The sequence below is a fragment of the Homo sapiens genome, chromosome 17, assembly GCF_000001405.40.
Source record: "Homo sapiens chromosome 17, GRCh38.p14 Primary Assembly".
NCBI classification, from domain to species: domain Eukaryota; kingdom Metazoa; phylum Chordata; class Mammalia; order Primates; family Hominidae; genus Homo; species Homo sapiens.
Window position 1 is genome coordinate 82241112 of NC_000017.11, and position 25313 is coordinate 82266424.

At 54.9% G+C, this 25313-nt stretch overlaps 1 protein-coding gene across 9 annotated transcripts in view, besides 3 other annotated features; it reads right to left on the minus strand.

The window, feature by feature from the left end:
• Positions 1 to 25313, minus strand: part of CSNK1D (casein kinase 1 delta) — a 34732-nt gene that overhangs the window by 2093 nt on the left and 7326 nt on the right. For 2 of the 9 annotated variants that reach the window (XM_005256336.5, XM_047435381.1), the window contains exons 2-8: positions 24575 to 24685; positions 14318 to 14466; positions 11905 to 12133; positions 11323 to 11493; positions 10268 to 10416; positions 8320 to 8491; positions 5361 to 7903 (exon numbers count right to left, since the gene is read on the minus strand). In XM_005256336.5, the coding sequence (XP_005256393.1) occupies positions 7608 to 7903; positions 8320 to 8491; positions 10268 to 10416; positions 11323 to 11493; positions 11905 to 12133; positions 14318 to 14466; positions 24575 to 24685 (1277 nt within the window). In that variant the 3' untranslated portion in view covers positions 5361 to 7607. The other 7 variants (NM_139062.4, NR_110578.2, NM_001893.6 and 4 more) reach the window with 7 other exon arrangements.
• Positions 2752 to 2831: an enhancer, noted in NCBI's record as "active region_12996". NCBI's record gives its function as "activates an Ori minimal core promoter by ATAC-STARR-seq in GM12878 lymphoblastoid cells {active_cell/tissue: GM12878}" and the evidence as "EXISTENCE:reporter gene assay evidence [ECO:0000049][PMID:35858748]".
• Positions 11190 to 12389: an enhancer, noted in NCBI's record as "BRD4-independent group 4 enhancer chr17:80210177-80211376 (GRCh37/hg19 assembly coordinates)". NCBI's record gives its function as "activates an origin of replication core promoter dependent on BRD2, P300/CBP, MED14 and CDK7 cofactors, and independent of BRD4, by STARR-seq in HCT116 cells {active_cell/tissue: HCT116}" and the evidence as "EXISTENCE:reporter gene assay evidence [ECO:0000049][PMID:35650434]".
• Positions 24574 to 25305: an enhancer, noted in NCBI's record as "H3K4me1 hESC enhancer chr17:80223561-80224292 (GRCh37/hg19 assembly coordinates)". NCBI's record gives its function as "activates a minimal SCP1, AML or CMV promoter by ChIP-STARR-seq in naive H9 embryonic stem cells {active_cell/tissue: H9 hESC(naive)}" and the evidence as "EXISTENCE:reporter gene assay evidence [ECO:0000049][PMID:30033119]".

Consider the following 25313-nt stretch of genomic DNA (forward strand, 5'->3'; position numbering starts at 1 on the left):
GCTACTTGGGGTGGGGGTGGGGGGCAGAGGGCGCACAGACTTCTTCACATGATCCCAGATCAGAGGGAGAAGGGAGGTGTCCGCCCGGCCTGGGCCTTCCCAGAGAACAGCCCTGGAACAGATGTGTGCAAGGCCTGTGCCGGGGGAGGTGGCGGGGGAGGCACAGGGGACCCAGAAAGGGCTTGGTGGCCCCGGACGCTGCCGTCCCTCAGCCTTCCGAGGGGTCTATGGTGAAGCTCCCGGGAGGCGCTGCCCAGTACCTGGAGGGCCTGCTCTTTTCAGCGTCTAAACCATGCCTGAGGACACAGACCCAGCCAGACTCAGGTTCAGAGAACAAGCCCTCTAACTCTGTCCGCTCATGCCCCCGCAGATGAGATGGAACAGGCCTTGAGGACATGCAGCCCCTGCTCCCTCTCAGGGCAGGGAACCCCAGGAGGGCAGCTGCAGGCCTGGGAAGCTCAGGCAGGAACTGGAACTTGGGTCTTGCCGTTTTCCGGTTGGGGCCGGTGAGCGGGGCAGGGGCTGAGCCTCACCCACGGCCACAGTGAGGCCCCACACGGTGTCTCAGTCTGGGGCAGCAAGAGGGAACCACGTGAGGCGGGCTGGAGACAGGGAAGGCCCGGAAGCCAGCTCAGATGCCCAGGGCACAGCCAGAATGGCTGAGAGGAAGGGCCTGGGAGGAGGCAAAGTCTGGGCAGGAGGGGCTGGCAGAGCTCCAGGCCATGGGCATCCCCACGGTTGGGGAAGGAGTGCATCACAGGCAGAGTTGGCGGGACAGCCCCGGAACGTGGGGCTCAGAAAGCTACACCGTTCTTAGAGCAACCTCCAGGCAAGTGACCCGAAGTCCCTGTGCTTTTTCACTACAAACAAAAATATCCTCCTCTTAGGCAGCGTGACCCTGGCCAAGGGGCCAAGGGAGTGGCCTGGAGTGGAGAGTACTGGGTGGAGGTGGGGGTGGGAGGGGAGCTGGGAGGGGAGGCGGCCTAGCCTGGCTGAGCTCACCCACACACGAGCACAGGTTAGGAGTTGGTGCAGACCTCCCTGCTCTGGCAGCCTGACAGCCCCCGCAGGCCTTGGATAGGGGCCACTGCTGTGTGCTCTGGGGGGGGGGGGAAGAGGAACCCTATCTCCTTGTGCCTGTGCAGGGCCATCGGGCAGCTCCTGGGCTTCAACAGCTCAAGCGACAGGGGGATCCCTGAGCACCACGGCCCTATGGCAGGGGGAAGGGACATGCGCTCACCCCAGGCGGCTGGAGTGCGGCTGCCGGTGCCGCCCGAGAAGGCAGGGACTCTCCAGAACCGTCACACAGAAAGTGCGTGGACTTCTGTGTGCACAACAGAGCCCAAGGGGGCAGCACGGCGAGGAGCAGTCGCCACCCCTCCCTGCCCGGCAGCAGGCCCAGGGGGCAGCTCTCCTGCTCTGCCAGCTCCCAGACACCCACAGGCTGAGAAAGAACAAACAGCCATCTCAAAGAAGTATTTTCACACAGTTCACCTCAACACAGTGAAAACTCTCAAGCTGATGAAATAAAGACCACATGGAAAGGGGAGGGAAGAAAGGTAGAAGTCATTATGAATTTATTATTTACACGATTGTTAAAGTACACAAATACAGTGGCGATACAAACGCACAGCTCGGAGACTGGCCGTCAGTGCACAGCTGACACGACGTCCTACCTACGTCTCCTGCACGGGGCGACGGGGACTAGATACTGGGCAAGGACTGTCACAAGCACTCCGAAGACGCGACCCGGCGAGGCTCGGGCTGGAACCCGGGCGCAGAGCTGCCTCGCACAAACGTTCTGGGCACTACATCGGGACCACAGATATTTACAAAGCAAGCTTGCGCCACTTCAGGCCACAGCGCGACGTCTCTCCGGGTGGGGGACGTCTACCTTCAAGAAGGGGTCCAGCAACAAAGAAAATCTCTTAACTCGGCTCTGACCCACCCCAACCTCCCTCTGTACTTCAACACACAGCTCCCACCCGCTCAAGGCCCCGTACTCCAAAACGCTTACACAGTAACCAGCCTAGGATTGAGAAAGCATCCATGGGCTCAGGCAGACGGCCAGCCAGCTGGTGGGGGGGTGAACAACTGTGTTCTGGGACGCCAGCCAGTTATGGCATCCGGGGAACTCTGGGGAGGAGAAGGGAGAACCAAGGTGCACACCTTCGAAGCCCTAGAGTCCAAAGGGAACATCGTCCATCGTGATGGGGTCCAGCCGAAGTGCCCACGAACACAGACTGCCCTGCGCATTGGGGTTGGGAGCACATGGCCACTGGCTACCGCCCAAGTGCTGCGGAGTGAGAGGCGAGAAGGCATCCTGGGAACCTCAGGGCACAGCAGCATGGAGCCTGGGGCAGCACCAGCTCACGGAGGCCACCTGCCTTCTGGTGGGACTCGGCCCCACGCACGCTGCTTCACTTCTGACCAACAGACACGCGCCCAACAGAAGGTCACAGCGCAGACTCTACTTTCTGGCCGTGAAGGTTCTGGGTCCGGTTGGGAGAGTCACCTGCTCCTTGGCACCTCAGGGTGGGTCCTTCTGGCCTGCCGGCTTTTCTGAGCTAGTCTTGGCACGTGGCAAGGACAGCCCCGCTCCTGGTTTTAAGCACAGGCATTCATACAGACGGAGTGCCAATCCGCACAGGAGCATTGAGTGCTGAGAAAATGGACTGAGTGCAAAGGCAGCAAGGCAACAAACACTACAGTAACCACCTCTCGGTTCACAGTCCTCTCCCAAGGGACCAGAAACGCATCTTCCACCTTGAATCCTGGGACTCCCAATTGTCCTGCTAGGGTCTCAAAGCCTCTGCTTCCAAGCTCTCAGCTGCCTGCCCACCTCCTGGGGAAGAAGCGCGCAGTGCTTTGCCTGGTAACACCCACTGCACCCCTGCCCCGCGGCAGCCTGCGGTCCCTAACTGCTCTCCGAGGGCCTCAAGAGTTCCTGACAGCAGGCATGTCAATTACGGGAGGAGGGAGGGTGAGACGCCAAAATCAGGTTGAAGAGGTCCCACCACACACGGGCACACACACACACCACGGACTTTTGATGAGAAATCTCCTCTCCAAAGCGGACAATAAAACACTGCAAAACAAACACAGCACACACCCTTGAGATCCACCTGCACCTTCTCCCTGCCCGACTCCACCTCATACACTAACTCCAAGCCAGCCTGTCTCAGAATTCCTTAGTCAACATTTTTTTTGTAAGACTGCAAAAACAGACAAGAAACAATAAAAAGACAGATTTTCTTTACACAGATTTAAGCCAATAATTTTTAGCAAAATGATACAAAACTGTCTTAACCAAGTAGAAGATTGGTAGTTACAGTGGAATCGTCAGGGAGTACAGGGCGGCCACCACTGGAGGGAGCTGAGGCCCTGGAAAAGGAGTCTGATTCTCTGCAATTCTCTCTCTGCTTTTCTTCCCAGCCCCGTTACAACCGAGTTCACGTGGGGGGCCGCAGTGCAGCCCCAGCGGTGGCAGCTCTTGGAGTCTGTCCGTTTAGTATGTTTCCCCCACGAGCGTCGCTGGGTGAGTGGCCTGGAGAGCTCCCGGTGTTAACATTTCGATCCTAGACCGGGGGACGTGTCACTAGTAAAGCCATTGGTAACAGAGTAGATCAGCCATGCATTGTCTGCCCTTCACAGCAATAAGGAGAGTTCTCATCGGTGCACGACAGACTGAAGACCACTGGAAGCCACCCGACCAGGAATCTGTCGGAGCCAAAGCACAGGAGAAGGTCAGCATGGGGCTGGGGGAGCCGGCCAGGCAGATACCACAGTGACGGTGCTGGGCAGGGAGGGGACGCACCGCCACCGCCTAGCCCCAGTCTAGACGCCTGCGTCCCCCGCCACGCACAGGGGCCTCTGTGGCTGGGACACGTGCTCAGCAGAACGAGTGACAGGAAGACGGGAAGGAGGAAGAGGCATGCAAGCAAGGTGCCCGCGGAGCCGGGCTCGGCAGGGTCGAAGGATCCGAGTGGAGCGGAGACGGGTGCTCCTGCCTCCCTTCCTGGAAAGGAACCTGGTGTTTGAAAATGGGTACCCCTCTCAGGGAAGACATGAAAAGCAGTTCCTGTCAACACATTTCCAGAGTGTGCACAGTGTGAAAACTGCAGCGGGTCTCCCAGCGGCACAGACCCGACAGAAGCGCAAGCCCCTGCTGGAAGGAGCCGCCGAGCGCGCGTGGCCGCCGAGGAGGGAGCACAGCGTGGACGCCGGCCATGCACCGACGGCGGGGAGTGAGTGGGCTGCGGCTGGAGGAGTTAATACAGACGAAGCTGCGTGGACAAGACGGCTGGGCAGAGACCAAGTGTGAAAAGAAACACAAAACAAGGACAGAGATAAATGAGACAGGAAGAGAGAGGCGACTAGAAAAGCTGGCATGGCAGAGACTGCCCAGAGTGTGGCGCAGCAAGAGCTTAGGAGCCCCCAACACCAAGCGTGGAGCCACCCAGCTGAGCAGGACACAGACGCCCCTCCAGGCACGGCCGACCGCAGACAAGGCAACTCAAGTGCTCGGGGCACCCGCCTTGCCACTCCTGCCTCACGGGTGGGCACCCAGGACAGGAGGAGAGCAACGGCACACGGAACGCAGTCACGGGGAGGCCACAGGCCAACAGGATGGTCTCCTGGGGTCACTCTGTTCCAAAGCTCTCTGTGGACAGCCTCCCCCCAAGACTGGGCAGCGGACTGCCGCCGCTCTGCACCCCACAAGAAGAACAGAGCAGAAGAAGCCTCACTCTACCTCCAGCACCTGGCATGCAAGCCCAGCCCACCTGCAAGCTCCCATGGGTGGGGCATGGTGGCTCCCACCCACCTGGCGCTGCTGCCTGGCGCCCGCCACGCGCACACTCACCCAGTGCTGCCTTCCGATGGGAGACGAGCAGCTACTTGCCGTGGTGTTCGAAAGGAATGCTATTCTGAGGTGGGGAAAAGACAGCTGTTGGTAAGCGTCCCGCTGGCCCCCTGACTACCTGTGTCGGCTCCATGTCCAGATGGGCATCCTTGCCTCAACCAGGTCCACAGACCGACAGGTGCCACCTGGGGGAGCCCAGGCACAGAGCACAGCCTCACTTGCCTCTCAGGACGGGCCTCTGGATGAGAGTGGTGCCCACTCCTCTTCTGGAATCACTTGCTCTTAAGGCCAACAATGGCATGGGACAGGCCCTCCTGAGTCTTCTCAAGCACTAAGAAAACCTGATCCCAGCAGGATGGCAGGTGCTGGGCAGCCCCACAACTGGGTCTCAGGGCACAGCCTGAAGGCAGGGGAGACGCACATCCTCGCCGGTACGACGACAGGGCTCAGGCCTAGTCCTGGGCAGGAGTTGATCAAAGCGAGTCATCGACTGTTGGAATGACAAGGCCTTCTTCTCACCAAGTAAAAACCCCAAACAGACTCAGCAACTAGATGGCCTTTAGGGCCCAGGCTACTGTAGCCAAAGAGCCCTGGCCGAACACCAACAGCCCGAAAAGAGAGGGGGCGAAGAGGGAACAGACCCAGGCGGAGTCCGGGCTGGGGCGGGGCCCTACAACTATGGGGGCCTCTGTGACCTACAGGCAGGCTGCCACGTGGTCTTCCACCCATCCACACCCAGCCACGGCCAGCAAGCCCTGGGAGACCTTCCTGCTGCCTCCTCCCATCTCCACAGGGCGCAAGGTCTCCTGAGAGGAGCAGAAAGAACAGGGAAGAGCGACGGCCCGAGGAGGAAGACTGGCCGGGGATGAGTCACTGCCCACGGTGACTGTGTCTCCAGCTCACCCGAGCAAACAGGTGAGGCGCTCAGAGCAATTGAGCCTCCTGTATTCCCCCTTGGGATTCAAAACGGGAGCTGCTGCTCACAGCCACCACGTGTGCTGGTGCTGGCAGAGTCTGGCAGGAAGGACACACGGCCAAAGCCTTCCTGTGAGATGGTGACAAAGGAGGGGGCCCGCCCTGGAGGTGGGGAGCCCTCAACATGCCTCTCAGGAAGGCCCCCCAGGGTGTCCAGGAGCAGAGGCCAAGAGGCTTCTTTTGGAGAGAACACACCCCCAAACCAGCTCTCTCTGGAGACTCCTCCCTGCTGTTAGAGCCCACGTTGTATTTCCTCATATGGAAAACGAGGGCCTAAGAGCCAGCTGCGGGTTCCTGCCACAGCTCACCATGGAAGGAGACACTGCTCACGGCCACCTTGGGGGCTGGTGGCTACAACAGCCACACCCAGGTGCCGCCAAGGCCGTGTACCGAGAAAAGGCAGCTGGACTCAGGGCTGTGGCTACTCAGCACGCTCAGGACACCTTCACTGCCCACAAAGATCCCAAACCACTGGACACTTTACTTTCTTTAAAAGAAACAAAAAGCACTCAGGCCCCTTCCCTAGTCTTTGTCAGCCAAGCGCTGGGGCGAGGCTGTCCAAGTCCGGTCAGCACCCAGCATGGGGAGCACTCTGGGCTCCTGTACCATGGTTCAGGGGCTACAGAGCCAGCCGCACATCAAGACACGAGGGCACGGGCAGACCCTCCCGGGAACTGCTCACAGGAACTGATGCGCAAGTGCCAGGCTCGTGGAAAGAAGCCAGTTAAACCCTTTCTGTGCTGTGTCTGGAGGTGACAGCAGGGTTGTGTGCACGTAAGGGACCCATTCTCGTGACGCAGCCCAGACCCCTCGAGCCCAATTCATATAACCACAAAGTCAAAATAACCACGAAGCCAAAATCCCTGCATCTTTGGTCTCTTTGGGAAGAAGTTATACAAAAAGGTCTGTTTCTAGTGAAATTATTAGTGAATTAGAAACGTGCAGTAAAACCCCAATCATTAAAAGACGGCAAGTGGTCAAGAGTGCTCCCCACTCCGGCATGTTCCTGGCTAGCCAGCTACACCCAGCCCCGCTCACGGCAGCAGGCCTGGCTCCATCCTGTGATCCCAACAAACACCTCCCCACAAGCCCAGAGCCAGGCTCCAGGGCATTTCTGAACTGAGTTCCTGCTCATCCGGAAGACCCGTGGGGGATCTGGGCACCCCCCAGGATGCCTGCTGGTGAAACAGCCCTGCCCCACTAACCCTGCCCCTGTTGGCGAACAACCCAGAAAACTATTTGAAGAAATATAATGGATCCATATGGAGAAAGCTGTTCTAGTTCAAAGAGCACGTTAGCAAACGCAAAAGACAACAAAAGCCAGAGCGAGGAGAGGAGAGACCGCTGCAGGATGCTGAAGAGGCGGTGGCCGTGGCTAGGCCTGGGCTGCGCAACAGGGTACTTCTCGTCCAAGGGAAGACAGGTGAGGCCGTCAAAAGAAGGAAAGCCTCGTTGCAGGGCATGCCACCAGGGAGGGTCTCACAAGAAGCCCGTGGAGGTCCCTACGGGCCTCCATCCCTGGCCAGTGGCAAGAATGAGGAAGAATGAGGAAGGCTCCCTCGGGCTGGGGGCACCCACAATGGGGCGCAAGCAGGCGAGCGGTGTCAGCTGCCTGGGGACGGCTGCGGGCAGCGGGGCACTCAAACAGCAGGAGAAAGCCCCCACGGTTTGCTGGCCTCAGGGACCTGAGACCTGAGACTGGCCACCTGCAACCAGGAGACAAGCCCCATGACGGCCCAGCATGTCTCCCAGGCCCTCCCGAGAAGCCTCATCTGCAACCAAGACGCCACACCCTGGCGAGATTAAAAACTCTCAAAAATGGGGGGAAGAAAGGAAAGAAGAAGCCCTGGAGAAACCACAGCCCGCTCTTGACTCGGACGGGGTAGCCCGAGGCCCAGCGCCCGCCCGGGAGCTCTGCACCTACCTGTGAGGTGGACATGCGAGAGGTATCTTGTCGGCCTGTGAGGTCGGACGAGGAGATGTTGACGGGGGCCCCGCGGTGCAGCCGCATACTCACTTTCCGCTCTCTCTCCATGCCGGAGACGGGCCGGGGGGAGGTGTTAGCTGAGGACAGGGAGAGAAACGGAGTGGGCCGCCCCCGTCTGCTGCCTCTCACTCGGGGCTTTCTATGAGAGGCTGTGGCCAGAGAGGACCCTGGGCTGCCTGGACAGTCAGGACCTGGCTGTGGCCGATGGCCACCAACACTCAGATCCGGCCGGAGGGACACAAAGGGACATGGGAGCGAGGTCAAGGGGCTCACAGGGGAGGAACGTGAGATGCGGGAGGAATCACGCACACCAGCAGGTGCCGGCATTTCTAAAGGCGCCTGGGCAGCCTGGCTCATCCACCCTCAGGAGCGAGCATCGCCTGACACAGGGCACTTAGTGTCCACCACCAAGTACCCTGTTGTCCCCACCAACCCCAAGACACAAGAAGTCACCCCAGAGCCAGCCCCAGAGCGCTGGGAGGGGGGCACTCACCCGTGTGTGAGGTAGGGGTGAGGGGTGTGGGGGGAGCCACTTCCTGCGTCCCCCGCAGGCGGCCGGAGGCTGTGGAAGGGAGGCCGCGGGTAGCCGGGTTCCGCGAGTGTCTCAGCCGCTCCTCTCGGTCCCTGCGCTCCCGCTCGGCGTCATCGGCGGCCCGGCTGGCACCCTGAGGAGGCAGGAGGTGAGGCCGGAATGGAACCAGCTTTGGCAGAAAGCAACCCTAGGTCCTAGGCTGCCCCGGCCACGTGAGAAAATACCTACCAAAGGGCACTGGGACGAGACTGCCTGCAAAGCCCCCCACAGGCTGCACGTTTCTCCTCATGGGATGACAGCATCATCCCCACAAGGGGTCAGAGCCAGGCCTCTCAGCTCCCCCAACAATCGAAAAAACCCCACTCGCCATGGCATCTCCCTGTGGGCTCAGAACTTCCTTAAACTTCCAAATGGGCAGCAGCTACCCCCTGCTGCTCTGTGAACATGCTCACTAACACGTGCAGAAAGAGGAGAGGGACAGGAACCATCGGAGGCCAAAGACAGGCCCCAAATGGTGACAGCTGGGGAGGAAAGCGGGGTGGGGATGAGAGCGTTTGGTCGGACGAGGAGTACACTCAGGGTCCGGACCCTGCAGCCTCCAACAGCCTGTGCAGGTGTGGTGGCGTGGCCAGCAGCCGGCAGCCGGATCTGTGCTGCACTATCCAGATGCACGGGGGTGGGGAGGTCAGATTTTAAGCCGAGACAGCAACCTATGAAAAAGCAGATTCTAACTGCCAATGCTGTGCGGCAGGGGCCTGCAAACTACAGCCCCGGGGCCAAACCCAGGTGCCACTTCTTCCTGCAAGTACAGCTCATTGGACACAGCCACGTTCACCAGGCAACACACAGACCGACACACCTGCGGCTGCAGCACCGTGCGGCCAGCACCGCCCAGACTCCTCATGCTGCCATTTACGGAAAACGCTGGCCTAGCCTGCTCTGAGGGCCGGGTGACTCTAATGCCGCAGGAGGGTCGCTCTGATTCCTCCCGAGGCAGCACAGCCCCGGCAGAGGGACTGATCTGCCCTGCCGAGTGCACCCCTCCCGGCACCTGGGCCCCGAGGCTCGGGCCTGCCTCGCCTGCCATCTCTCCGGGGCCTCCAAGTACTCCCCACGCTGATGGGCACTTGGCAAGTAAGTCAAGATGAACAGAGTGCACCCCTCCCAGCATCTGGAGACCCCGCCCCTCCCTGGCCCCTGCACGACTACTGGACAAGGCTGCCGTTTTTGTACCCTCCCAAGAGGCAGTTCTGCTCCTCCATCAGACTGCTGCCTGGAAAAGCTCCAAATTCTATTTAAAACTGACAACAAAACAGTAAGTTTTTAATGAAGGAACACAACAGTTCCACAGGAGCTTCATTTCTGACAGCGGTGTCTGAAAAGTAATTCAGCTCAGACATGGACCCAGGGCTGGGCTGCCTGTTTTAGAGGCTCCACTGCATACTCACACCGCATCAAGAAAGCCACAGGGAAAATCAGCTCATGACAGGGTCAGTCAGGCTAGACGGGTAGCACCTCACCAGGCCCCAACCCCACTCATCTCGTGGGCACCACGACCATGTGGCACAGCGAATGGGAATGCGCACCCCCAGCCCCCACCCTCTGCCCCCAGGGCATGCTCTGGGCCCTAGCTCCGCTTGGTGACAGGGAGGGAAGGGGCCTCCTGCTGTCCACACCCAGGAATTCCATGGACCCCTCTGCGTTCCCTAATGGCGTCTTACTTCTTGGCACCCCTTTCTGGCAGGCAGACACCCACTCAGTCCAGGTCCTGCCCACTACACACTTGCCCTTCACAACCAGAGACACTCCCTATATGGTACAGCCCCTCAACAAGACGGCCGCCGGCCTCTCACTGACAAGCCATCCCCCGCACACCACACTCAGCGAACGTGCTGGCAGTGCGACTTACAAATTTGAGCATGTTCCAGTCGAACACGTAGTCATAGGAGAAGCCCTGGCGATGGAACAGATTCCGGAAAAGCTGCCGCAGGTACGAGTAGTCAGGCTTGTCGTCAAAACGCAAGGAACGGCAGAAATTCAGGTATGTGGCAAATTCGGCTACAAAACAAGAAACTCAAAGCTAACTCATGAAACCCAACTGCGACTCAAGGTGTCTCTGCCAACGTCGCTGTCTACCTCCTGCTGCTGCACACTCAAGGGGAGAAGGACAGATGCAAAACACCTGTCAGATTTCTAAGACCTGAAGCCTTGAGAAAGCATCGAAAAGTATTCAAGTCACGGCCGGGTGCGGCGGCTCACGCCTGTCACCCCAGCACTCTAGGAGGCTGAGGAGGGCGGATCACGAGGTCAGGAGATCAAGACCATCCTGGCTAACACAGTGAAACCCCATCTCTACTGAAAAAAAAAAAAAAAAAGTTCTAGAGCGTGGTGGCGGGCGCCTGTAGTCCCAGCTACCGGGGAGGCTGACGCAGGAGAATGGTATGAACCCGGGAGGCGGAGCTTGCAGTGAGCCGAGATCACGCCACTGCACTCTAGCCTTGGCGACAGAGTGAGACTGTGTCTTAAAAAAAAAAAAGAAGTCATAAAGCACAATTTAGTTTCATTTGAGGTGTGTATCCTGGGGCAATCCTACAAATGCAAAGGAAATCTCCCGAGCTCCTGGAGGGGGCCAGAGAGGGCAGCCACTGCAGAGAGAGGCCCCACCACTGCCTGTCCATCCCTTTCCAGCCACTTGGGGCCCTGAGGCTCGGGCCTGCCTTGCCTGCCATCTCTCCAGGGCCTCCAAGTACTCCCCACGCTGATGGGCACTTGGCAAGTAAGTCAAGATGAACAGGAGGGCAGGCTGTTACCTCCATACACAAAAGCGCCCCGCTTTCCTGCCACCACCCCTTTGGAAGGTGAGCAACTCTTCTGACAAAACCCAGACTGAGCCGTCTCGGCACACCCGACACATATGCAACCCCTGTGAGCAGCTCCGCTGAGAAGAGGCCTCCAGAGACTTACAAGGGTAGCCTTTACACAACACTTCGATGGGGGTGGACATTTTCTTCTCGCTAATCCTTTCGTATTTCTGTCTCTTGGTGGCAGCCTTCAGCCCCTGCCAGGGGAGAGAGCCCAGGTTGAAGTACATTAGCACGTAGCCCAGAGACTCCAAGTCATCTCTTCGGGATTGTTCTGAAAAGAAAAGGGAAAGGCGTGAAGAACGGCACTTGCGTGCTCACGTCAAAGCAAAAGACCCGGCTGGCCGTTCCAGTGGAGACTAGCCTCAGACACACATGCCCAGATCACTCCAGCTGGCACTTCCAGTGGAGACGAACCTCGGACACACATGCCCAGATCACTCTCACCCAGAGCTGCCCCTCATGCATACTAAGGAAATTCCCAAACACATCACAGGTGACTCAGAAATGTCCCAGCATCCGCCTGCCCCCATACACCTGGCAGTCACGAGCCAGCCTGTCTGCCGCAAAGGTCTGATGACACGCTTGCAGCCCCAGCTCCCCGAGAGGCTGGCCTCTCCCTGGGCTGAGGCATGGACGCGCCCAAAGGCACCCCAGGTCAGTGACCCCATGCCCAGGGGCTCACCAATTCCAAGGTGCGTGTTGATGGAGGCGTACCGCGCCGTCCCCGTGAGGTTCTTGTTCTCACGATAGGGGATGTGCTGGTGGGTGCGTGCATCCCGGTACTTCTTGGCCAGCCCGAAGTCGATGATGTACACCAGGTTGCCCTTCTTCCCCAGGCCCATGAGGAAGTTGTCTGGCTTCACATCCCGGTGGATGAAGTTCTTTGAATGAATGTATTCGATGCGACTGATCTGTGAGCAGAGCAAGGGCGCGAGATGGCACCCCAGGGCAGTCTCAGGGAGGGACCGCTCAACTGTGGGACACTACATCAGTGGCTGCATTGTTCCTGCCCCTCAGCCACAGCAGGGTAGTTTAACAATTAGCGAGGGGGATGCCGAACTGACCAAATTGTTCCCCCAGGTGCCTGCAGCAACCCTCCACACTCCACCCTCCACAGGCCTAGGCGCTTTGCCTTCAGCTCCCACAAAACAGAGAGGTGAGGCGACAGAGAGGGGACAACCCGCCACTAGACATCGGTCTCTCCCAGCACTGTTCTCTGCACAGACTACACACCAGGATTAGCAGAGAAACTGCACGGAGGTGCTTAGGAATCACGTGTGTTCCTGAGAGACTGAGGAACCCACTGAATGGAAACGTGCTATGCTGGTACCGAGAAGGTGGCCTCCAAGCCAGTGAGCTGAGCCACCAGAGCCTCGAGAAGCCAGTGAGCTGAGCCACCGAAGCCTCCAGAAGCCTCGAGAAGCCAGTGAACTGAGCCGCCGGAGCCTCGAGAAGCCAGTGAGCTGAGCCGCCGGAGCCTCGAGAAGCCAGTGAGCTGAGCCGCCGGAGCCTCGAGAAGCCAGTCAGCTGAGCCGCCGGAGCCTCGTGAAGCCAGTGAGCTGAGCCGCCGGAGCCTCGAGAAGCCAGTGAGCTGAGCCGCCGGAGCCTCGAGAAGCCAGTGAGCTGAGCCGCCGGAGCCTCCAGAAGCCAGTGAGCTGAGCCGCCGGAGCCTCGAGAAGCCAGTCAGCTGAGCCGCCGGAGCCTCGAGAAGCCAGTCAGCTGAGCCGCCGGAGCCTCGTGAAGCCAGTGAGCTGAGCCGCCGGAGCCTCGAGACGCCAGTGAGCTGAGCCGTCGGAGCCTCGAGAAGCCAGTGAGCTGAGCCGCCGGAGCCTCGAGAAGCCAGTGAGCTGAGCCGCCGGAGCCTTGTGAAGCCAGTGAGCTGAGCCGCCGGAGCCTCGAGAAGCCAGTGCAGTGCGCTGAGCCGCCGGAGCCTCGAGAAGCCAGTGCAGTGCGCTGAGCCGCCGGAGCCTCGAGAAGCCAGTCAGCTGAGCCGCCGGGGCCTCGAGAAGCCAGTGCGCTGAGCCGCCGGGGCCTCGAGAAGCCAGTCAGCTGAGCCGCCGGGGCCTCGAGAAGCCAGTCAGCTGAGCCGCCGGAGCCTCGAGAAGCCAGTCAGCTGAGCCGCCGGAGCCTGGAGAAGCCAGTGCGCTGAGCCGCCGGAGCCTCGAGAAGCCAGTGAGCTGAGCCGCCGGAGCCTCCAGAAGCCAGTCAGCTGAGCCGCCGGAGCCTCGAGACGCCAGTGAGCTGAGCCGCCGGAGCCTCGAGAAGCCAGTGAGCTGAGCCGCCGGAGCCTCGAGAAGCCAGTGAGCTGAGCCGCCGGAGCCTCCAGAAGCCAGTCAGCTGAGCCGCCGGAGCCTCGAGACGCCAGTGAGCTGAGCCGCCGGAGCCTCGAGAAGCCAGTGAGCTGAGCCGCCGGAGCCTCGAGAAGCCAGTGCGGTGAGCCACCGGAGCCTCGAGAAGCCAGTCAGCTGAGCCGCCGGGGCCTCGAGAAGCCAGTCAGCTGAGCCGCCGGGGCCTCGAGAAGCCAGTGTGCTGAGCCGCCGGGGGCCTCGAGAAGCCAGTCAGCTGAGCCGCCGGGGCCTCCAGAAGCCAGTGAGCTGAGCCATCGGAGCCTCGACAAGCCAGTGAGCTGAGCCGCCGGAGCCTCCAGAAGCCAGTCAGCTGAGCCGCCGGAGCCTCGAGAAGCCAGTGAGCTGAGCCGTCGGAGCCTCGAGAAGCCAGTGAGCTGAGCCGCCGGAGCCTCGAGAAGCCAGTGAGCTGGGCCGCCGGAGCCTCGAGAAGCCAGTGAGCTGAGCCGTCGGAGCCTCCAGAAGCCAGTGAGCTGGGCCGCCGGAGCCTCGAGAAGCCAGTGAGCTGGGCCGCCGGAGCCTCGAGAAGCCAGTGAGCTGGGCCGCCGGAGCCTCGAGAAGCCAGTGAGCGGAGCCACCGGAGCCTCGAGAAGCCAGTGAGCTGAGCCACTGCAGCCTCAAGGCTGAGGCTCAGCAAATTTCCATTTCCTCTGTGAATTAATGGCCATAATAATGGCAAGAACAGCACAAGCGAGTGGCTGATTCTATCAGACAGCAAGTGTGTGCCAACTGTCAGGAAACAGTCCTTACCATTTGGTCAGCAAGCAGCAGGACGGTTTTGAGGCTGAATTTCCTGGAGCAGAAGTTGAAGAGGTCCTCCAGGCTTGGCCCCAGCAGCTCCATCACCATGACGTTGTAGTCCCCCTCTGCCCCGCACCATCTGATGGTGGGGATGCCCACTAGGCAAGGAAATCAGACACAGTGTTTCAGTCCAGGCCCTGCCTCAGCTCCACACTAAGTCTGCACTGTGCACACCAAGGGGTCATGGTGACAATCCTGAACGGGGGAGGGGTGGTGGAGGTAGAAGACCCCGGCAACGCCGCTCCTCAGGGACCCATCCTCGAGATTAGGCCCCATCTATTAGCAAATGGCCTGAGGCAGACGTTGGATGAGGGCCAAGCAGACAGGAGCTGTAAGGGGGACAAGGAGGGGATCGAAGCCCCACCTCCCCGACTCCCGTCTTCTAGGGCAGGGGGGCAGGAGACACAGAAAGCAGCCACGATGTGGGAAAGAAAAGAGCTCAGGCATAAAGGAGCAGCAGAGCCCGCCAGAAACGTCACACAGGAGATGGGAGGAGAGAAAGCAGCTACCGTGGGTTAGGTGAGAGAAGAAAATATGTTCAATTACTCCGATGTTGGTAGAAGTATTTGACTGGATAAGAGAAAAGCAAAAGCAATGAAAACTTTTTGGGGATTTACACAGTAACCCAGGATTGAAATATACAAATCAGGGAAGTGAAAATAAAGACACAATAAATCCAACAGGAAGAATTTAAAGATGGCTGCATAGTATCAGTGCTGAAGGCATAATCAACACTATAAAGGCACACGGGCCAGGTGCAGTGGCTCATGCCTGTAATCCTAGCACTTTGGGAGGCTGAAACGGGAGGACTGCTTGAGCTCAGAAGTTCGAGACCAGCCTGGATAACAAAGGGAGACCCTTGTCTCTACAAAAAATTCTGGAAATTAGGTGGGTGTGGTGGCACGCTTCTGTGGTCCCAGCTACTTGGGAGGCTGAGGCAAGAGGATCACTTGAGCCCAGGAAATGGAGGCTGCAGTGAGCCGTGATGGCACCACTGTGCTCCAGCCTGGGCCACAGAGCAAGACCCTGTCAAAAAAAAAAAAAAAAATCCATTTTAGAAAAAATGGGTGAAAGACCTGGACACTTCACCCAAGACGTTACGTATGAAAAGTCAACGACCACAAGAAGATTCTCAGAGAGATGGAAAACACATGCTGGTAAAAACATGCACAGGAATGTGCACCGCAGCCTCACGCCACAGTCAAATTCAAATGCTGCAGCAACAGGTGGGTTTCTCAAAATGCCACCCCCAAAATACGTCCTTTGGTCCTATTTTTTTTTCTCATATCCACAAGAACATGTCTCTTCGGTATGTTTTCACAGCACTGGATCCGCAACTATACACATGGCTCTACACACATACGGCTTGTGAACGGCCTGGATAAACCTTTTATGTCCTTCCATGGCAAGACAGATTTTTAGTTTAGTCTTAAAGCAAGTTTTGGTACCACTAGGGAAATTCAATTCATTTAAAAAATTGTTTCATTATTTTATTGTTTTGAGACGAGGTCTCGCTGTCACCCAGGCTGGAGTGCAGTGGCACCATCTCGGCTCACGGCAACCTCCGCCTCCTGGATTCAAGCAATTCTCCTGCCTCAGCCTCCTGAGTAGGTAGGACTACAGGTGGGCGCCACCATGCCCAGCTCATTTTACTGGCCACATGTATCGCCTCTCCTCTGAAGGCATGTATTTTTTTTTTTGGCTAAGTTTTTCTATCATGGTATCTTTTTCCTATTCATAGTAGTTCTTTATAACTTCTAGATACTAAACCACTGCAGGTTTTTTGTGAGGCAAGTATCTCTCAGTTAATGGCATGTTTTTTATTTTCTTCTGGAGTTTCTTGATGAAAAGACTTTTCATGAATATGAATGCCTTAATCTTTTGCTTTATGAGTGCTTTCAGTATCTTACATTAAAAAAATAGTTTCTGCCCTCAGCGTCAAAAAGAGATGCTATTGTTTTTTTTTAAAGTGTTAAAGTTACTTCTACTTCTAACAAAAACAGTAATAGGGGCCTGATTCGCCCTCACACCTTAAGTAACTAAGGGAAAGAACAAAACACACACCCTCACACATCACAGGGTGGTTTCCACAACACTGGGCCCGGCCAATGACTGACAGCCGTGCCAGCCAGTGACAGCTGTGCCTGAGGGCGGGAAGGAGCCGTGAGAGGGCGCCCTGGGCTGCCCCCTGCACTGCTGGGAGCATAAGCACAAACGCCAGACTGAACAGATCCATGGAACCCAACCTCATCCCAGAAGAGAGCTGAGGAGGAGCCTGCAGAATGTGGAAGAGCACAGCATGCGTGACATTCTCAATGTCCGGCATCCAAAGTGGAAAACAAACCTGGAGTAAGAGGTTAACTGAACAGACCCGGATGTTCACATCAGCAGGGAAAGCCATGAAACGTTACTACAGATTTCGACTGTATTCCACCGTCGAAAAGTTTTTTAACTGGCCAGGCTCAGGCCTATAATTCCAGCACGTTGGAGGTGGAAGTGGGAGGATCACTTAAGTCCAAGTTTGAGACCAGAAAGAAAACATACTGAGACCCCCGTCTCTACAAAAAAATTTTAAAAATTAGCTAGGCATGGTGCTGTGTGTCTACAGTCCCAGCTACTCGGGAGGCTAAGGTGGGAGGATGGCTTAGGCCCAGGAAGTCGAGACTGCAGTGAGCCGTGATTGCACCACTGCACTCCAGCCTGGGTGACAGAATGAGACCGTCTCAAAAAAAAAAAAAAAAAAAGTTAAAGGCATGAGGCATATACATATATATGTGTATTTATGTTTCGGTCTTTTATATATATGTATATATTTATATAAAAAACATAAATGTATATATAAACCTGAACATATGTGTATATATATATATTATATATATGCAAATACACATCTACTTTCAGATTTGGGAATAGTTGCATTCTGCGTCACAGTCGAGCATCCCTAATCTGAAAATCCAAACTGCCCCCATTAGCATCTCCTTTGAGCATCATGTTAGCACTCATAAAGTTCCCGACTTTGGGTGTTTCAGATACTCAACCTTATTACGGATTTGTGAATTCTTTTCTCTCTCTAGATGCAGCATTACGGATTCCCAAATTCCCTTTCTCCACTCCAATGAGTCACAGTTCCTTCTTCTTAATACTCATTTTGGAGTTTTCACTGTCCCAAATTTAGGCAACAGATCACCTTTCAAACTTTTTCCCGTACCTCATAACAAATGCCTGCCATGTGTTCCAGATTCACCTTCTTTCTTTCTGCCCCAGCCCTGGAATCAGCTGCTTCTCCAAGCACTCAGGACTCCTCTTAACAGAGAATGATAAATACTTAGAAACCCCTGAGGCCCGGTGTGCTCAGTGTTCTAGGCTGTCCTCCTTCTAAGCCCTTCTCGTGGCCAGAACCACACAAAGTATCATCACGACAGCTTTATAGTAAGTGCTGGTGTTTGCAGGGCAAATGGCCCTCTTCTTCACAAGTGTTTTAATTAATCCTGGACTTGCACTCTTCTCAGTGAATTCTAGTCACCTTGTCAGGAAAGAGAAGTGGCTGGATGTCGATGGGAACGTCATTGAATGTTAAGAGCAACTTTGGGAGACCTGACACCTGGCATCTTCCTTTCTCTGAACATAGAGGAGAATTAAGCAAATCTTCCTTAAATGTCCTTCAATAAAGTTTATATATTTTCTGCATGCAGATCTTATCTGTCTTAAAATTTACCCCAGATACCTTTTTGCTACTGTAAGCATTATGTTTTAAATTACATTTTGTAACCAATTAAATTGTTGGTTTAACAAAATGAATTGATTTTATATTTTGATCTTAAATTTGCTCAACTCTCTAATCTGTTCTGAGATCCCTATTTAGGAAATTACATCACATCACATGCCAGTAACAGCAGTTTTATTTCTGCCTTTTTCACCCTCTGCCCTGCTGAAAACAGTGTTGTGAGGCTGAGGATGATGTGGGTTACACAAAACTTGGCTGCACTGCAGGGGGGAATGGAAATCTACATAACCACCTTGGAAAAATCGATATGTATCAATATGCAGACGTCTGCGTTATCCTGCAGAACTGGACATTTGCACGTACCAAGCAACAGCCACTGCAACTTCACACGTAGGTGCTGGCATGTGTGCCCCAGACACATGGACAAGATGTGCACAAAAGCACTGTCCCTAACAGCAAATGCTAGAAGCTCCCCAGGGCTCAACGCAGTATGAGTCAGACGAAGCTACTGTATACAGCTATGTAGATGATCAAACAATGAAAATCAATTACCTAGAGCTGCAATCGATGGGGAAGAATCTCAGGAATACTCTGGGTCAAAGAAAGGTACAGAATACAGACTGCATCGCGTAACACTAAAACTTTCATGTATTCAAAAGACTATGTGGCATGGACTCCTGATCCATCTGAACTGATGGTGTACTGAGTGATGTGACTGATGGTGTACTGACTGATGGTGTACTGACTGATATGACTGATGGTGTACTGACTGATGTGACTGATGGTGTACTGAGTGATGTGACTGATGGTGTACTGACTGATGGTGTACTGACTGATGTGACTGATGGTGTACTGACTGATGTGACTGATGGTGTACTGGTGTACTGACTGATATGACTGATGGTGTACTGACTGATGTGACTGATGGTGTACTGAGTGATGTGACTGATGGTGTACTGACTGATGTGACTGATGGTGTACTGAGTGGTGACTGATGGTGTACTGACTGATGTGACTGATGGTGTACTGAGTGATGTGACTGATGGTATACCGAGTGATGTGACTGATGGTGTACTGAGTGATGCGACTGATAGTGTATTGACTGATGGTGTACTGAGTGATGTGACTGATGGTGTACTGACTGATGTGACTGATGGTGTACGGACTGATGTGACTGATGGTGTACTGACTGATGGTGTACTGAGTGATGTGACTGATGGTGTACTGAGTGATGTGACTGATGGTGTACTGACTGATGGTGTACTGAGTGATGTGACTGATGGTGTACTGACTGATGTGACTGATGGTGTACTGAGTGATGTGACTGATGGTGTACTGAGTGATGTGACTGATGGTGTACTGAGTGATGGGACTGATGGTGTACTGACTGATGGTGTACTGAGTGACGTGACTGATGGTGTACTGAGTGACGTGACTGATGGTGTACTGACTGATGTGACTGATGGTGTACTGACTGATGTGACTGATGGTGTACTGACTGATGTGACTGATGGTGTACTGACTGACGGTGTACCGACTGATGTGACTGATGGTATACTGACTGATGTGACTGATGGTGTACTGAGTGATGAGACTGATGGTCTACTGAGTGATGTGACTGATGGTGTACTGACTGATGGTGTACCGACTGATGTGACTGATGATGTATTTACTGACACCATCTTTCTTTAACAGGGGTCCTGCTGTCACCCAGGCTGGAGGGCAGTGGCACCATCACAGCTCCCTGCAGCCTTAACCTCCCGAACTCTAGCCATCCTCCTGCCTCAGCCTCCAGAGTAGCTGAGACTACAGATGTAAGCCACTGCACCTGGCCTGTTTCTTTTTCCTCCCTACCCCCCAAATGTCTCAGCAGAAATCACCCCTTTTGTTAGCTGTAAGTAACAATGTACCCCGTCATCCATGGCATTAGAGAATGAATAAAATACAGTAAAAGCAACATGCTCTTGCCTCTCAATGCACTTGTGCTCTATGGACTTACTGCTACTGGTGATTTTGCAGGAACAAGTGAAGCCAATGGGTTTGAAAAGAGAACCAAGGCTGCCTGCGCCCAAGTGTGCTAGTCATCCAGGGCCACCCTGCTGCCCTGCCCAGGTGCTGTCACGGTGGGAAGCGGCCACTCATGCTGCTATTTGTAGTCTCAACACTTTTCCCTCATGGTGCCCGAAGGTAGCTAAACATATGCGTGGGGATAAAAATCGGGTGGACAAGGCCAGATACATGAAGACATGCTCCACTCTCATCTGTGAAAAGTTTCAATATAAATGTGGGGACTGAGCATTAATGCAAATAGAAATTTTCATGAAGTTTTCAGCAGTTGAACCCTAAAATGATTTATATAACTAAAATGTTTCTAGATAATTTCATTATTTGGATTTTGAAAAAAGTTTCTTGTAGGATGACAAAGCAACAAAAACTTACAAACAGGTGAGCAAGGTCCTGGCACAGACATGGGGCTGGGCGGGCGAATGGGCTCCACAGGGAGTGTTCCCTCTCAGGTGGGCAGGGCAGGGTCCTGGTTGTTGATTTTAATGTCCTCGATACCGTACATGTTACATACATTCTTTGGTGTTGTACAATATTTCACAAGAAAAAGATGATGGAAGACAGTCGCCCACCCTCAGCCACAGAACCGTCACCCACTGGCCCGGGTTCTACACACGTACTCCCCTCTTCCCTCCCTCAAACCATGCCTACCATCTCAGCCTTGACGAAAAGCAGCTGTGAACTAAGTAAATGTCCTTTGCTGAGGGGTTCCCCAAGGAGGGAGTGAGCTAAGGCTGCTTTTGGGGGATGTTAGGATTGGAAAGAGCAGTTACAACTGTCCCCAGGTTTTGCCCACCAGTCCAGTAGGTTTTCATAAAAACTAGGTGTCTATCCAAATCTTCCACCAACATAGCTACTTTTAGTTTCTTTCTACTATTTCAGGTATTGAATCTATTGTCCCAACCAGATTTGGGACAGGTGGGAGCATCTGGGGCACATTCCTGACAGCTGAAGGCCACGTAGGGTGGCCGCCATTTCCTTCTCTGGGAGCAGACAGCTGCTTCAGCAGTAGCCTGGGGGGCTAGAATGCCCAAGTTCAAGTCTGTCCTCTGTGAAGTTACACAGCCTTCTAAACCCAGTTTCCTCATTTGCAACATAAGGCTGAAGAGCTCAGTACCCACTGCCCAGGGCTGCTATGGGCAGTGACCAGTGTGTTTTTAAGGCTCATTCTTCCCAAGCTGCAGAGAACAGAATGCACTCGCTGTGGAGCTTTCTCCTGGAAGGCAGCATCCATCAAGCAAACGTAAAGATCAGAACCTGGCACCACCACTTGACTTTCACGTGAAAGGAAGGAAAACCGCAATGAGTGGTGCTTGCTGCCCTTTTTTTCAGAGATAGCAGGACAATCTGGACCACCCACAGCAAACACTGCACAAGGGGACAATCTGTACCACCCATAACAGGACAATCTGCACAAGGGGACAATCTGCATCATCCATAGCAGACACTGCACAAGAATGGCAGTGGCAAGATCTGGTGGCTTCTGGATGAAACAATTTCTTCCCATTATTTGTCAACTCCCCGGTTTAGTCTCAAAGTGAATTCAAGAACCACCACCAGAATTAGGCCTTTTGCCTTCTCGGACATCATTTGTTTTCTAAAATGCAGATCTTTAGATCTTTACAGTATCTGACGGGCGCGATGGCTCACGCCTATAATCCCAGCACTTTGGGAGGCCAAGGTGGGCAGATCGCCTGAGATCAGGAGTTCAAAACCAGCCTGGCCAACGTGGTGAAGCCCTATCTCTACTAAAAATACAAAAATTAGCCAGGCAGGGTGGCTCATGCCTGTAATCCCAGCTACTCCAGAGGCTGAGGCAGGAGAATGGCCTGAACCCAGGAGGCGGAGGTTGCAGTGGGCCAAGATTGCGCCATTGCACTCCATCCTGGGCAACGGAGTGAGACTCTGTCTCCAAACAAAAACAAAAAACAAAAAACAAAAACAAAAACCAAAACCTTGACAGTATCCACCAGGTGTCTGTGCATTTAACACAGAAGACCTGACCTACATTTTGGAATGGTCAGGGACATGGCAATGCGCTCGAAGCCCAAATGGGAGAAAAACCATTTCTGAAATCCTATTTGGTTTCCAGGATCCTAGAGAAGGTGCCATGGGCAGGAACATGAAGGTGCAGGCTTCTTTACTCTCTTAAGCCAGCGGCCACAGGGGAAGCAACTTTGCCTGCCAGGGGCCTTCAGCACTGTCTGAAGAAAGTTTTGAGTATCACAACTAGGGGCAGGGGTGCTGCCAACATCTACCATGCAGAGAACGCACCACTACAAATGGCACTAGTGCCGAGTGGAGAAGTCCTGTCCGGAACCACGTAGCACTTTTTGGTTCAGGGTTGGCTTCCCCAGTGACCATCCCGGGCTTCTAAGGACTGGCTTTCTTCCCTTTGCCCTTGTGTACCCCTGGCTTGCAAGTTCTCCTGGAGACATCTCTCGTAAAAACTTAAGGTGTTTTTAAGCTTGCAGGTTTTACTTGACCCCAGCACCAGGCTCCCGCAGGCCAAGGCCACACCCCGCACCACCCTGCTCTATTGGCTCGTCACACCTTCAAGGCAATGCAGGCTCCAGGCCCTTGAGAAGCCAGTCCACCACCAAGGGCCGCCAGACAGGCTCCCAGGGCGGAGTCTCTGCTGAGCTTTCCCTGGGTTGGTGATGGGATTTTTCATTCCTGTGGCCTCCTCTGGTCACGTGAGGCCCGTGATGGGACACACTGGGTGCCCCTCTCTGTAACGGGTTCCCCAGGACCACAGGTGCTGCCAAAGATATTTTGTGTCACATAAACTTAGAAACGTCGGTTTCTTGTAGTAGCACAGATTACGTGCTTGTGCTGAGAAAAGATGTCAAAGAATCAAATCAACAGTCCTCCCTTTCCCGTGACAAAAGGGCTAACAGAGGCCCTGAACAGGTTTTCCTTTGGCCAGTTGCCCAAGGGGACTCACCCAACCATCCACCTACAAATGTGCCGCGGAGCCTTCTCACTGGGAGGGCTCCACAGACGTGGCACAGCCACTCTTCAGACAAAAAGCTCTGTTCCCAAAGAGGGCTCCTGCCAGACCGAAGCTCTGCTGTTGAGACACACGCTTCATGGCTCTGAAATCCCCGCAGAGAATACCCTCCTGCTCCATCAGCCCAACTGTTTGAAAGTCCAGGGAACTCGCAAGAGCTGGACTCTGAGGGGAGGACAGGAGCGCTCTGCTCCACACCTGGCCCACCGTGGAACACCAGGTACCTAAGGCCCTGGGCTGAGGGCTCGCAGAACTGGGACAGTAACTGAGCTGGAAGAGGTCATGATGGTCGCCAAGTTCAAAACCCTTGTTTTGCTCGGAGAAAACGAGCCCAGAGAGTATGAAGGGACTTCCCCCAAGCTATAAGCAAAGCATGCGAAGGAGCAGAGGCCTCACTCAGGGATCACACATCAGGAAGGCCCCACTGAGCAACACACGTGCCACTGGCAACAGCTCCAGTGACCACTGAGGGGCACACGACACCACGGGGAGCATGCATTGAAATTCACACAAAATCTTTTTTTTTTTTTTTTTTGAGACGGAGTCTCGCTCTTTCATCCAGGCTGGACTGCAGTGGCGCTATCTGGGCTCACTGCAAGCTCTGCCTCCCGGGTTCACGCCATTCTCCTGCCTCAGCCTCCCAAGTAGCTGGGACTACAGGCGCCCGCCACCACGAACGGCTAACTTTTTTTGTATTTTTAGTAGAGACGGGGTTTCACTGTGTTAGCCAGGATGGTCTCGAGCTCCTGACCTCGTGATCCGCCTGCCTCGGCCTCCCAAAGTGCTGGGATTACAGGTGTGAGCCACTGCGTCTGGCCTATTCACACACACTCTTGATTTCAGAAACCATGACCCAATATGAAGCAAAATTTAAACAAAAGGACAAGATGGTATAAGATTTTTTTTTTTTTTGGGGGGGACAGGGTCTCACTCTGTCGCCCAGGCTGGAGTGCAGTGGCGTGATCTCGGCTCACCGCAACCTCTGCCTCCCAGACTCAGGCGATTCTCCTGCCTCAGCCTCCCAAACAGCTGGGATTACAGGTGCACGCCATCACACTTGGCTAATTTTTGTATTTTTAGTAGAGACGGGGTTTCACTACGTTGGCCAGGCTAGTCTCAAACTACTGACCTCAAATGATCCACCCATCTTGGCCTCCCAAAGTGCTGGGATTCCAGGCGTGAGCCACCATGCCCGGCCCATAAGATGTTTCTTTGTGTTGAGGGAGGGTCTCTGGACCCAAGACTCTCTGAAGGAAGCTGTGACTGCTTTGTCAGGGTGTGGAGAACACTTCCCTCCCTTTTGCCCAGAACCAGTTTTGGGTTTATTTTAACCAGCAATGCTGAGTTGCTGTTCTCCCTTGTCAAACAGAACCCTGGTGTTGCTCTGTGACTGGTAAAGACCTACCTCCTCCCTGCATCATCTTGTAGATTTTGCTCTCAATGTGGAGCTGAGGGTGTTTGGTTTTGACACATTCAAGCTTGATGGCAACCTCTTCTCCTGCAGCAATGTCCGTACCTTGGCAAAGAAAGAAAACCACAACAGGAATTACCTGGTATCCACCAAATAACCCAACATGCTGGAGAAACAACAAGCACTATGTGTTTTCCATGAAGGACCAAGTGAGGGATGTGTTCTCCTTCCTAGCATAGTAAGGCGGGCTAATCGGCTGACACATCTCTGGGGGAAGTTATCCATATTCCCATTTTCACAACAGGACGAATTTGAACTGCACAGAAAGTTTATGTGGCTTCCATCACCCGCCCACCAGTCTTCAGGTGCTGCAGCTCCCTCTCCACAGTGGCCCTTCTGGTCTGCATCCTCCCATCAGCCCTGCCCAAGGCCCCTGCACTTGCCCGCCCCAGACAGCCTGTGGTAGAGCTCCACGGTGCCATTCCCTTTTCTCCATGCTGCCTGATAGGCCTCCGAGGGGGTGGTTTGAGTTTCCCCCTGAGGAAGGGCTAGGTTTTTACCCAATAGCCACAGTCCCAGTCCACCCAGGCCTGGCATCACAGGCAGCGGGAGTCATCTCTAGCCAACCTATTGCAGGCAAACACCCTCCACCAGGCGGAGGGAGGCCCTTCTCCCTTCCTGGGGACACAAAGCCAGAAGAATCGCCTGTTTTCAACGCCCTAAATGTACCACC